The following is a 14,332-nucleotide window of genomic DNA, read 5'->3' as shown; positions in this document are numbered from 1 at the left end:
GGACCAGCACCAACACTCCATTATGGTGCTTTCCTGTGCCCGTCCAGTTTCTGACTGATCTCACCCTGCTTCTGGCTTAGTGTCATCTCATTCTCCTTCTGCTTCCCCATCCCCAGATCCTGCCAAGCCTTAACCTGTCTAGTGCCCTGAGGACATTTCTGAGGTGCTCTCTGCTGCCCCCATGTGGCCCCCAAAGGCAGACCTTTTTCCTTTCTCACGTATGTAAAGGCCAACAGGTTTACACAAACCCATTCATTTATACAACCACTTAGTCTTAATTTATGGGAGGCCTGCTCTGGGCTTGGCACCATTGAATTCTTAAATCAACCCGGAAAAGCCGGTGCTATTTACATTTGCCATTGAGAAAGTTGTGACTCTGTGAGGTTAGGTAAGCTAGAAAGAGCGCAACCAGGGCTCACTTCACATTGCTTTGCTATATGCCAGGTGCTGCAATGGACACTTCAAAGGTCATTGAGTGAGGCCTCAGAGAGGAGAGCCCCTCTCTGTGTCACTGAATGGGCAAGAGGAGAAGTCTGGCCTGTCCGCTGCCTGAGCCTCGGTGGCTGTGAAGCTGGGTGGGGGCCACCTGTTATATCTGGGAAGACTTAGTGTGGCCTCCTAAGGGGCTTATGTTTTGTTTGATAAATGGTTCTGGTGCTGAAAAAAAATAATTTGGAAACCACTGTTGTGAAAGATTGGGAGCCCCTGAAGAATTTTAAACAGGGAAGCAACATGATTACATTTGCATTTTAAAAAGGGAGACAAAGACAATTTAGTATAAAAATAAATCTCCTTAATCACATCATCACAGCAGAATAACTTTCCTCTGGGTGCATTCTCTCCCTGCCTTGATCACATGCGGGGGTTTTTACACAGTTGTGAACTTCACCACATTCAATTTGCATTCTTTCTCACTCAATGGTACATGTCCTCCGGTGGCCTTCCTAGTGATCCTCTGGATTGGCAGCCTGCCATGCCTTCCCAGTCTTCCTTCACTTCTTCATTCTTGTATTGTGGGGTATTCACCCAGTAGCACCATGTAAGTGATAACTACTATTATTATCATTTAAATTGCGTCTGATTTTTCTGTTTTATAAATGCCATAAAAATAAGTGTACTTGACCGCAGAGCTTTTTCAGTCCCATATGGACTTTTCTCTTGGATATATTCCTACCAGAAGGATCCTGGATCAAAGATCCTAAACACTTAAAAAAAGTTTTAATAGACTTTAATGTTTGGAGAATTTTTAGATTCACAGTAAATTTGAATTGAAAATACAGGGATTTTTCATATATCCCTTGCCCCTCTACATGCACAGCCTTCTCCTACAGACACCATAAAAATCCTGCACCAGAATGTACATTTGTTACAATCAATGAACCTACATTGACACACCATTACCACTGAGAGCTCATAGTTTACACTGAGGTTTACTCTTGATGTTGTACATTCTATGGGTTTTGACAAATGTATAAAGACATGTATCTACCATTATGCTATTGTTGAAGTCAAATAGAATATGGAGATGAATCTCTAAATTTAAAACAATTTATTTGGGAAGCAAGAATTGCAGTTTGGGGTATACTCACAGACTGGGTGGTCTTTGGTGTGTCTCACGAACAGAGAGAACGTTGGGATTTTTATTAGGAATAAAAATGTTATAGTTTTGAAAGAAAACTCATCAGCACTTGAGAAGCTTTTGGGAACTGAAAACTGATTGGTAAGTGACAGTGGGAGGTAAAACAAGTCTTAGAGTCCCAGCAGATCTTTTCGGCAGCTACTAGGTAAAACTGGTCTTAGGGTTACAGCAAGTCCTTTCAGTAGTTGGGCTTATGGAAAAATTTAATTCTTGGAGCAGGTGCTATGTGCCCCGAGTTCATTTTCTTCCTGGCTCCCGGTCTCTGATTTAGTTGGATATGACAAGAATTACTCAATTTGTATAACCAACTTTCAAGTATCTTACAGAGTAATTTCATGGCCCTAAAAATCCTCTGTGCTCCACTTATTTATTTCTCCCTGCCTCCAAACTCCTGATCTTTTTATACTTCCATAGTTTTGCATTTTCCAGAATATCATATAGTTATGATCATACAGTAAGTAGCCTTTACAGACCTACTTCTTTCACCTAGTAATATGCATTTCAGACTCTTCCATGTCTTTTCAAGGCTTGACAGCTCATTTTTTTTTTAGCACTGGACAATATTTCATTGTCTGGATGTAACAGTTTATTTATCCATTCACCCACTGAGGGACATCATTTGCTTCCAAGTTTTGGCAATTATGAATAAGGCTGTTATAAACATCTGTGTGCAGGTTTTTGTGTGGACATAAGTTCTCAACTCCTTTTGGTAATTACCAAGGAGCAAATTGCTCAATCATATGGTAAGCATATGTTTAGTTTTATGAAAAACAACCAAACTGTATTCTAAAATGGCTGTACCATTTTGCAATCCCACCAGCAACGACTGAGAGTTCCTGTTGTTCCACATCCTCACCAGCATGGTGTTGCCAGTGTTCTGGAATTTGGCCATGCTAAGAGCATTCTAAATGCTTTTTTATGCACTAGCCTGCTGAACAATATCTCTCTGTTTGTGGTGGAGCTGAGCTCAAAACCAGCATGGGCCAGCACCAACCTGAGGATTCTTGGTCCATGGCCACATGGGGACATGCTACATCAGGAGTGTGGGAGGTAGTGGACACTGTGCTCTTCTCTTCAGATACCCCACTCAGGCCAACTCATTCACCCCCAGCCCCAGTGAGGCCAGATTCTCCCAGCTCCCACTTGCCTTCCTCATGAGTAACTGCCCTCAACTGGAGGGAAATGGCTTGCCCAGGGTTAGGCTGGGAAAGGCTTCCTGAGACCAGGACATGTTGATCTGGGAATACAAAGGCAGGGTCAGCTTCTCCCTCTGCCTGATCCTGCATTCCTCATTCTGTATAGTGGACCTCAAGATCACTCCTGCATGGACTTCTGCAGACTTTTACCTGCCCCAGAGTCTGTGTTCAGGGAACTCACCATCAAGCAGTGAGTGATTCCACCTGCCACCCTCTCCTGGGGGGATGCAGCCTCAGTCTCCCAAAGAACAGACTTGATGAAGGTGGGCTGGGGGTATCCAGTCTCCCCTTTTCCAGGGGGCTACTCCTTGAACACCTTCATGTGCAGCAATGATGCCAAAGCTAAGACCTCCTTGGTGAGAAGAGACAATGTTCTGGGAGTGCATGTAGACAGAAATGCTAAATGAATTAAAAAAAAAACAACATAGAGTTTTAGGGCCAGGGTTTTGCTATGCCTTTTGGTAAGGTGTGGCATCGTGGAAAGTGTGAGGGTTTGAGGTGAACACATCTTGTTTCTGTCACTTCCAAGTGGTGTGATCTTCGCCCTGTTGAGTGACCTCTCTCCTTGCTTGTCTTGTCAATGGCAATGACAATGCCATCTTCAGAGTATTCCTGTGAGAATCAGAAAAGCCTTATGTGTTCTGTGAACTACCTGGCATAAAAAGGGGCTCAAAAACAGCTCCTTTACTCTCTCTTTTCTGTTCATGTCCTAGGGTTTGGCCCCGTTTTTAATATAGTAGAAAATAATATCCCAGGTGGGCACCTCGAGGAAGTGTCTTTCTCTGGCGCCCTCCTGGAATTGTGACTACAGATAATGTTTTCATTCCTCTCAGAGTCCCCCGGCCAGTGTCTGGATTGTGCCCTTCCCTTCTACATCTTACTTCCAGCAGGTGGAGAGTAAGCCATACTTTCACGTTGAAGATTACATCCCAGCGAGTCTGATCGAGAGGATGACCGCTCTACGGGTCCAGGTTGAAGTCTCAGAGATGCACCGGCTCAGCTCTGCACTGTGGGGAGAGGATGCTGAGCTGAAGTTCTTGAGGGTAAGGCCTTCCTGACCTGGAGAGAGGTGTTGGTCTTCAAGGGAATGCAGCCAGCAATCCCCTCCAGAGCCTTCTCAAGGGGCCCAGGTGTGTGCAGACCCACAAGGAGGCATGAGCAAGGGTGGAACTCTAGGAGGCAGGGAGGGGCAAGGAGAGGCTTCTGGAAGCAGCTGGCATTGGAAATGACCCCAAAGAGGGTAGGATTTAGTGAGCTGGGGTGGGTGTGGTAGGGCTTTTCCTTATTTTTTATTTTATTTATTTATTTTTTTGAGATGGAGTCTCGCTCTGGGATTACAGGCGCCTGCCACCATACCCAGCTAATTTTTGTATTTTAGTAGAGACAGGGTTTTCCCATGTTGGCCAGGCTGGTCTCAAACTCCTGACCTTAGGTGATCCACCTGCCTTGGCCTCCCAAAGTGCTGGGACTACAGGTGGGAGCCACTGTGCCCGGACAAATCTTAGATCAGCATTCCAGACACTTTCCTCCAAGCAGGGAGACCACATTTCTTATAGTTGACACATAGGACAACAGAAGTACAAGATCAGCGCTTGAGCCAGAGAAAAGCCATCACAAGACCCTAAGTTTGCAGCCCTGCAGGCAGCAGTCCTCAACATAGCACAGCTGCTGTGGCCTGTGCACAGGAGTGCAGCTTGGGCCCACCGTCTCTTCACCAGCGGGGCAAAAACAGTGGCACTGCAGTCTCCCCGTGTGGGCACACACAATGATGAATAGTCTTTGCTACTCCACAATCTCCCCTTGCTGTGGGCCAGGCACTGGAAAATGGAGACAAAAAGCACATGCTCTTTGTCCCCAGGAAGCCCCATGTCTTGTGGGGAGGACTGCGGTCTACCCACAGGCACACAACTCAATAAACACTCAATGGAACAAGAACAATACCAGCTACTCTATGTCAAGATGTGGGGACCAGGGAGAGAGTGGCTACTCTGCCTGTGCAGATACAGCTGGGGGATAAGTGCGAGGACACTCGCAGCTTCCCCAGGATGGGATACAAGCTGGGCCATTTGATTGGGGGAGCAGTTTTAAAAGGAAGTTAGGAGATTTGTGTATTTCCCTGTACAGAAGTCAGGTAGAAATATTCCATCTGTGTTTTCTTGCCCTTAATTGAGATGGGTACTTGAAAACAGAACAGCCAACATGAGGTTGGGCCTTTGCTTTTCAGCTGGTCATTTTGCAGAACTATCCCTGTATCTAACATGGTGTAGCCTGCAAGCGTTTCATTTGAGAAGCACTGGCGAAGCATGATCAGGGCACTCCATAGTCCGGGCTGCACACGTGTTCCCTGTCAAGGGGACGAAGCATTCCCTTGATGAGGGACCAGTGGGGACTTCAAAGCCATCTGATAATGAGTGGTCACAGAGCCACAGAACTGCAGAACCCAATCTAGAGGCCAAGGACCCAACCCTGCGGCAGATGTCTGCAGGATGGACGCTACCTTCTGGCCTCTGCCCAGACCCTGACTTTGAGTGCTGATCTCACTGTCAGGGTCCCTCGCTTCCTGGTTGAACGATGAAAAATGATTGTAAAAGAAACTACCAGGCTGAGAAGCAAAAATACAGAAAACCATTTTTTTCCCCATTCACAGAAAGCACTGAATAGATTTGATTCCATTTACATGTAATCTTTATCGGTTTCAAGGAGCACTCTTGCTTTTGCAGTTTCCCTTGGTAAACTGGTTGGGGTTGTTAATGCTGGTGTTGCCTGCCTGTGGTACAGAGAGATAAACTAGACAGGGCTTTGTCATCATCCCCAGAGCACATTGGGAGCCTCTCATTAGGATGAGGGTTTGTTAAAGGTTTTCTCCCCCTCCCTGATTATAAAAGTAAACATTTCCTCATAATTCTGCCGCCTGGAGATAGCACAGTTACATTTAGGTATATTCATCCTTCTCTCTTTGTTCTGTGCATTCATATATATATGTATATGCATATATATTTAAAATTAGCTTTATATTATACATGCACTTTTATGTATGTATATAATCCCATAGATCTAAACATTTGAAAACTTCTTTTGAATTAACATATATTGTACTCTAATTTTTTCTCTCAATGCTCTATTGTTTAACATATAAATGGTTTCCAATATGGGACTATTTAAAACAATACTGAGGTTAGCATCTTTTCCATATAAATCTTAGCTGTATTTCTGCTTCATTCCTTAGGGATAGAATCTCATAAGTGGAATTACAGGGTGGAAGGTAATAAACATTTTGAACGTTGTTGATATATATTGCTAAGACACCTCGTGCAGCCGTCATTTCTGGACATTTTCCATCTCTTCTACTGGGCTATAAATGCCTGGAAGGCCGTGGATCCTCAGTGCCCATCACAGAGCCCAGTTACTATTCTACAAGCAATCACTGGATTATTTAATTATAGCTCCTCATGGCTCTTGTTTTTCATTAGAAAAAGGAGAAGACCATTATTGGGAGGCTAGCTCTTGGTCCCCAGTTCACTGATGACTAACTCTGAAAGTTCAGCACCTTGTACTAGCCACAGACTGGGCAAAAGTCCAGTTTGGGAAGCGCTGAATACCATAGTCTGTCTGTAGATTCACAACTATATTAGCTTATTAATCTCAGAATAACCTGTTTAAGGTGAATTCAGTGTTTTCCTAACTTCCTCAACCATGGAGCCATTTTCCCACATAGCTGTGGGTTGTTAATATATTATTAAAAGATTTTTTTCTTGCTATTGAAATCATAATGATTGTATCCTGTAGTTTCTTCCACTTAGCATTATAACAAATGCACTCTCCTGATAATTACAAATGCTTTACAAATATCCTTTGTAAAGGCTGCCTGATAATCAATTTTAAGACAGTACTGTTTTTAGGAAATCGTTTACTGCCAGGAGCTGGTTTCCCCAAATCACCCCACAAATCTGTACTGAACAGCATTATGAGAAGGGGTTGTCCTGATTATTCAGCATATTTTCTTAGGGTAGATACCCACAGGTGGAGTTATAAGGTCAGAGAAGATGAATTCTGAACCCCTTGATGAATATTCAGAAATAACAATCCATTTGTTTTGAAGAATGTTCAATGCAGCAAGGGATGTGTGGCTGGCAGCCAGGAGTGCTTGGTCCCATCTCAACTTTGCTACCTGTTGTAAGGAAGACAGGCCTTGTAGTAAGATGGCCCAAAGCACATGGAGAGGAAATGACCCTCTGAAAGGACACCCAGCAATAGCAATGCAAAGGGGGCCAGGAGAAGCATCCTAGGAGACTCCCTAGCAGACAGCAAATGGAGGTAGACATCATTATTTTATTGTTTTACAGATTGAAGATGTCATTGACAACATTAAGTGTATTCACCTATGTTTCCAGGCCTTTTGGATTCCCTGTATTTCAGTTGTTAAGAGTGAAGACTCAGGAGCAAACAGGCTCATCTTTCCATATTTCCATTCCTGGCTCCAAAGCAGGAACTTGGACAGATTACTTAGAAAAAGGATAGCTTCACTATCTCTGTGATTGTTCTGAAGATTAAATAATAATGAAATCATGCTGGGAGAGGCTTAGCATGGTGCTTTACTAGTAGGAATCTTGAGGCCCAGAGAACTGAAAAGCATCGTATCTCTCTTTGTATAGGTAAACAATAAATTAAAATATAAACTAATACTAAACAACTGAAGAAGTTTAAGTCTAGCAAAGGCATGACTTTTATTAATGACTTTTAATGACTACTTATTAATGCTTAATTTTTAAAAGAAATATCACACCAAATTCTTTAAAAGCGTCTGCCTATTATCTTGTGGTGGCCCTGCTTTTTAAACTTTAATCACATGCCCAGGCTGGCCACTGGATATTTCAGCACCAGCGCTCAATAAATATTGATTTGTATGATGATAAGGATATTGATGATGATGATGATGATAATGATGATGATGACGATGATGACAGGGTCTCTCCAAAGTTAAACGAAGGAGGCTTAGGGTTCAGAAATGTAATCTGAACCCTGTGTGAAGAGCTGTGGAGTCTGCAGGCAGCATAGCTGTCTGCATGGACTTCATCAACGGTGAATGGGAAAGGAGCCTGAGAGAGGAGCTCTCAAAAGCCATAATTTGTCCCTGTTTTTGTGACCTTGCCTGGGGGTGAGAGAGATTGGATAGGACATTATGCTCTCTGGTTGGGGGTAGGAATGGGATACCAGATTTCAGCAATACAACCCTTCTGAGAGGGCTTCAAATGCCTGGAGCAAGAGGTCCTTGCTGTGGGTCCCAGAGACACATCAACCTTCTGATGGGGACTGGCGTCTTCCTGGTGAAGATGAAGGTGGGAAAGTTACTGCCATTCAGATGTAGAAACATTTGTGTTCATTTTATACTTTGGTCTCTTAAGAAGTTGGTGGCCTAACGCAGTCCCCAGCTCCAACTGACCCATGGCCCCTGGCAAAATTTATTCCCCTAACCTGGTAAACAGAGGCAAGACCCTGGGCTACGGGGACCCCCACGAAGGCATTGCTACATGGTGAGGAGCACCAAAATGAATGGTCATTTTCTCTGCAGGGTGGTTCACAACTAACATTGGTGATCTGGAAGGTCACTTTCTGTGCCTTAGCCTCAGTTTTTCTATCTGTCACGTAAAGGGATTGGAACAGAGAATACTATAGACTCTGACACAACAAGGAAAAGAAATCTCTTACCTTGAGATGTCCCAGAAGAGTATGAATTCTAAAAAACTTGTTCAGAATATTATTATTGTACTGTGTTATTTTCATAATAACTGTATTCTAAGTACTGTTTTAGGTATTCCATGAGAAAAGTATTCCTTGGGTTACAAAAAAAAAAAAAAAGGAAAATTCTATCATATCAGAGGTGCAGAGAAATTTTGTACATAGCAAATAAATCTGTTTGACCCAGTGTTTCCTAAACTTACATGACAATTCTACTCTTTCTTTTCAGAACGCCTATCAGTGTGTTTTGCATGGAGTGAATGGCGTGAGGCCCATTATTTTAAACCATGTGCCTGTCTCTTCTAAATCAGCCTTTTTCTGCTCCAGGTCACTCAGCAGCTCCCAGAATACGGTGTGCTGGTTCACCAAGTATTCTCAGAGAAGAGGAGGCCAGAAGAGGAGATGGCCCTGGGGATCTGTGCCAAGGGTGTCATAGTCTATGAAGTGAAAAACAACAGCAGAATTGCAATGTTACGGTTTCAGTGGAGAGAAACCGGGAAGATTTCTACTTATGTGAGTGTAGCTCAGTTGATAAATAACCTGCACTTCATTTTCCTTTGATTTGTTGGCCGTTTAAAGGAGCAGTGGGTCATGGGTCATGTGGCTTTCTCCTGACCAAACATTCTCACAGCCTGTCTGTTTGTTAACCTGCATTCTGATGCATTGCAGGATATTTGGAAGAAGTCTGCCAAGGGATTTTGGGAGGTCCTCAGGAGGCCATTTCTTCCCTAACATTCCTTGCCTGGACCTCCACATATCCCCATGAACAGCCATTGGTCTAAAGGGCTACACTTTCCTTCTGGGTAAAGTTTTCTTAATTTGGAGACTCCATTAACGTTGAGAGCAAAGTTGGAGGTGGGAGATGGGGGTTGAGAGTGTAGTTTAGGTTGAGTGGAGCCTGAAAGGTTTTGAAACTTCTTCCCGTGTTTTAATTTTCCCTTTGCACGCAGTGTGCCAAGGCCTCTGGTCTGTCTCTGAGGACTACAGGTGTGCTACGGGACACTGAGGATTGCAAATTTTTGGTAGCTCTTAAAAGTTTCAAAGTCTATTTTTGAATAGAAAATCCCCATTAAGTATACAACATTTGGAATCTACTTGAACACTATTTGCATGCATATTTCTGCCTCCTGAAGTGAGTCACTCTGGCACTGTACCCTGGTGGCTGACAGCCTCTGCCTGTCCTGTGGTTGTTTTAGTCAGTACCTGTGTCACTTCAGTGACGATTTATTATAAAATATGAAGTTCTTTATCTTGCGGCCCCTGAAAAAATGTTTTTTTCCTATTTAATTTTCTCAATGGTTAAAAACATTTTCTAATTACATCACTATTTGTATCATTATCTGATGTTAGAGTTTCCTGAGTAGAACATAATTGCTTTCATTCATTTTCAGGATGTTTCTTTTATTTCTTCCATCTTGGCTTTGAAGTTAACACATTGTCAAGATAAAATTTCATAATAAATTATTGTTTGTTTTCAGGAAAAAAGCTTACATCTAAAAATAAATAATAATTGAGCACAATTTAATTGAGTTTATTCAAGTGGTCTGTATATTATCAGGAAATTGACTTTTTTTCAAATTATTTTGACCAAACTCAGATGAAACAATATTCATATTTGTGAATTTTTCAGAATTTTAATTACTCAAATTACATTAACTAAACTGAAAGTTTATATGAAGAACTTTGTTTAATGAATTTAATACTACTACATTACTTATTTTCTTATTGCATGTTTAATTGTTCAGATTTTTCAATGCACTATTTCAAAATATTCATAAAAATGCAGGTAACCTAAAAAGTAATTTTTTAAAATGGATTTTTTTGAAGCTGTAAAGCTCGACAGTCCCCTTAAGTAAGTACTTTATGTATACATTGGTTTAACTTTTACAGGTATTTATTTCCCCCCACCAGGGGATTTCTTGATTAAATTAGTTGATTAATTTCTTGATTAAAACTGGGAAGTCATCAGGCTCTGAAGACAAACTTAGTAGCTCAAAAAATACTTAATCAGGGTTTCCATTCTCTGATGATCATCCTCTTCCTTGGCATGAATAACTTATTTTTAAGGAACAGTCGTCAGATGAAGTAATGTCACCAGCAGTTTGCTGCAAACCAAGCATCTTACGCAGAAAATGACTTGAACTCTTTATGCTTCTGTAAGCACAAAATAGGGAATTCAGTGAACAATATGAAAATTAACTCAGGAAACTGGTTTCAATTTTGCTTTTTAATACCTGAGGCCAAAAGTCTTCAAACAATTACAGATCGTTCATCTTGCCAGCCTGCACCAAAGCAGCAAAGGAAATAGAGAAAGATGACATTTCCAAAGAATATGATTCGTAGATGTGTTGGCGTCCATGTGTGGTTTGATTGTTCAATCAAAAACCTGTTCCTTCTAGAACAATAAACCTATGCATGCTAGTAACTGTCCATAGTTATCAGCACTAGTTAAATCTCTGAAGAGAAATGCATGGAAACAGAAGCAGACACACGCTATTTAGGGCCCTCTTTATGAAAAAGAATACAAAGTTACAAAAGATGGCATGAAAGAAATATTTATTCAGAATGAGAAAAGAAATCACAAAAACTTTATGAATTTTTAAAAGCTGAACAAATCCTGCAGATATCAAAAAAGCCAGCAAGTAATATTTTTATTAACTTCCTGACAATGCCTATAATACTTTTTTCCTTTCAAATTTTTAATGGCGTACCCTGATTATTTTTCTGTATGATGGCGCTTTTGTAATATCATTTTCTCTAGAGAGGATAGAAATATAGTTTAGTTTTTCTTCTAGCATGGTGGATTGAAATCTGTTTTTATTATTGAAAGGATTAATAGGATGCATGAAACACGCAGCTTTGCACAGAAACATTTTTGCTCTTTCTAGTGCTGCAACAGAGTTATTTGCTGCAAATGCAGGAAACCTGACAAATTCTATTTCATGGGATTCCCATAAAAAAAAACGTGTCATGTGTTGATAATGCGGTATACACAATTATAGAGTATATCCCTGATAGGGAAGCATTTCAATTAGATGAGTATTTTTGAGAACTAAATTATAGTTTTTCATTTCTGATGAGTGCAAAAACTTCCTGTAGATCAGCTACTGGCTCTGTACAGCTCATGCTTCCTTCGGGGGCTGGGTATTATAGGGCATGGTCAATTTCATCTGGCTGCTGGCCCTGCACCTTTCTGCTGAGATTTTAGGTGAGTTAGACAAATGGAAGGAGTATTCTGGGATGGCTAGCAATAAAGTAACTATTCTAGAAAAGCCTTCAAATCACCTAAATAAATCCAACTAAATCTAAACCAAGTGTATCCCCATCTCAACTTCTTAAAGGGTTCTGCTCTGTATCACCCAACACCACCTGGTGCGAAGGGACGTGGCAAGGAGGGTGTGTCTGAGTAGAAAGAGTCAGTGGTCTTAACCAACTGGGGTGAAAACATCTTACTTTCCGTGTATTATAAGACCATGTGAATGCATTGCCAGGGCTCCTCCCAGGAAGTTAGGGCCCTGGAGCTTCAGTTTCATTAGTTTCATGACAAGTCTCCCCTGCCTAGAAAAATGTTATTTGTATTTCATACAAAGATGTATCAAATACAAATAATCAAGCAGGTGAACAAATAGCAACAGAAAAAAAAGAACTCCTAGGGATGAAAATATTCAAAATGGTAAACTGATGCTTTGAAACCAACATGTTACAGAAGCACCTGCCATGAATTAGGTGGGTGCAAGAGTAATGGCGCCCACCTAATTGCAGTAATTGCACCAACCTAATGTTTCTGCTGCAACCACAGAAATGTAAAGAAAGGATTTCATGCTGGTGCTGAAAACCCAGAGACTGGAGTTATACATCATCGTATACACAGAGTAGCAGCTTGCTTATGCGAAAGTTTGCAGATAAGAATTTTCCATTAAATGATGGAAAAGACTCTTGACAGTCAAGACTCTTTTCACCTTTATGTCAAGAAATAGGATCAGCATTCCACTCTGGTGTTTGATACCTTGGAGCACTGGCATCTGAAAAGGAGAGTTTTGCTGAGAGTTTATAAGCTAAAAGAAACTTCGATGTATGTGTTTGTTTGTATGTGGGTGTGTGAATGATTCTCCCTTTTCAGATTTGTTAAAAAATAGTTATTACATTTTAAAAAGTGATTTATTCTTGCAAGGCACAGTGGCTCACCCCTGTAATCCCAGCACTTTCAGAGGCTGAGGAGGATCACTTAACTCCAGGAGTTCGAGAGCAGCCTGGGCAACAGAGCGATACCCCTGTCTCTAAAAAATACAAAAATTAGCTGGGTATGGTGGTGCCTCACTGTGGTCCCAACTACTTGGGAGGCTGAGGTGCGAGGATTGCTTGAACCCAGCACTTCAAGGTATCAGTGAACTATGATTGTGTCACTGCACTCCAGCCTGGGTGACAGAGCGAAACCCTGTCTCAAAAAAAGAGTGACTTATTCATATAAAAAATGCTTAATATCTGAATAAACTTAATATAAAATTGTCAGGATTGCATGAAAGCCTATCAGTGTGTACTGACAAAGTGTATGGATTTCAAGCAAATATTCGACTTTGAAAAAGTGTGGATGAAATGATCAGTTGAGTACTAAAGAAGAATTATTACGACTGGCGGAGCAGCATCTATGAATGCTTGAGACAACACATTATTTAAAGAAATATTAGTTATAGTACAGTTCAATTGGATTCAGAATCCATTCCTATTAGCACAAGGAGGCTTAGCACTATACTTGTCAGTAAAAGTAAAGAGTATACAGAGAATGAGAAACTTATCTAAAATTAGGTTAATGGTAAAAAGGGGTTTCTCAAAGAAAAAGCAATGAATATTTATCTGCCTTTTGTTGATATCTGACATGCGTGAATGGAGTTTCTTAGAAATGGTGACTATCAGGAATTAAAAGAGATAAGCCTTAAAGAGGATCAGGGGTTTCCGGAAGCCCTTTCAAGCATAAGCCCTGTTTCTATAAAGTTACCTTTATAGGAGCAAGCTGAAGGTTCTTATTGAAATAGATAGAATATCTAGAATGAAGATTTTATTTGGAAGTTTTATATGAATTAATATTTAATATCACCTATATATTTTATTGTTCTTATCAGAATAATATATTGCAAAAATTTGTACTTTTTTTTCATAAGGCTCTATACAGGTAGCCTCATATAGGTCATCTTCACCAGTTTAGCCCAGTGAGCTGGACAAATATTATCACTTTGTATGTGGGCCTTGAAGGTATAATGTGGGGAAGCGTTTCTTTGTGGTGTGACCTCAATTCCTGTGGCATTTTGAGGACTCTTGCTCTTTTTTTTTTTATCTGTAGAATAAAAATACTGATAGAATCTCTCTTATTCTGTAGTTGTGAAGATAAAATAAATTCATACTCATAAAGCACTTAGAATAGAACCTGCTACATTATAGCCAGAAATATTATAACACACAGGTGTTTTTATCTTTTTCATAACCCAACTAGTTGAGATTTTGTCTACAACTTCTTGGAGTTTGTACAATAAAAACAATGGGAATACTTAGTGGCTTGTCATAATGCACACTGAGGGTTAGGTTCCGTCCTTGCTGAGGTCAATATACCTGACCCACTTCATATTCTTCTCACCCAGCACACTCCTTGAAAAATAGTTATTGTTTGATAAACAATTTGATTGATGAATGAAGGAAAAACTAAAAAGAGGGATTTTCTTTAAGCTAAGGAAAATATCAGGCCATAGTCAGACAGCATCTGCCATGCACC

General features: G+C 40.9%; 1 protein-coding gene across 6 annotated transcripts in view, besides 1 other annotated feature; it reads left to right on the top strand.

Annotated features, from left to right (window-relative positions):
* Positions 1–14,332, top strand: part of FRMPD2 (FERM and PDZ domain containing 2) — a 118,337-nt gene that overhangs the window by 59,064 nt on the left and 44,941 nt on the right. For 3 of the 6 annotated variants that reach the window (NM_001318191.1, XM_047424652.1, XM_047424654.1), the window contains 2 exon segments: positions 3,726–3,878; positions 8,899–9,084. In NM_001318191.1, coding sequence (NP_001305120.1) covers positions 3,726–3,878; positions 8,899–9,084 — 339 coding nt within the window. 6 annotated transcript variants of the gene reach the window in all.
* Positions 9,696–9,795: an enhancer, noted in NCBI's record as "active region_3329". NCBI's record gives its function as "activates an Ori minimal core promoter by ATAC-STARR-seq in GM12878 lymphoblastoid cells {active_cell/tissue: GM12878}" and the evidence as "EXISTENCE:reporter gene assay evidence [ECO:0000049][PMID:35858748]".

Source organism: Homo sapiens, chromosome 10 (assembly GCF_000001405.40).
Source record: "Homo sapiens chromosome 10, GRCh38.p14 Primary Assembly".
Taxonomy (NCBI): Eukaryota; Metazoa; Chordata; class Mammalia; order Primates; family Hominidae; genus Homo; species Homo sapiens.
This window is presented reverse-complemented; position numbering and strand designations above follow the sequence as displayed.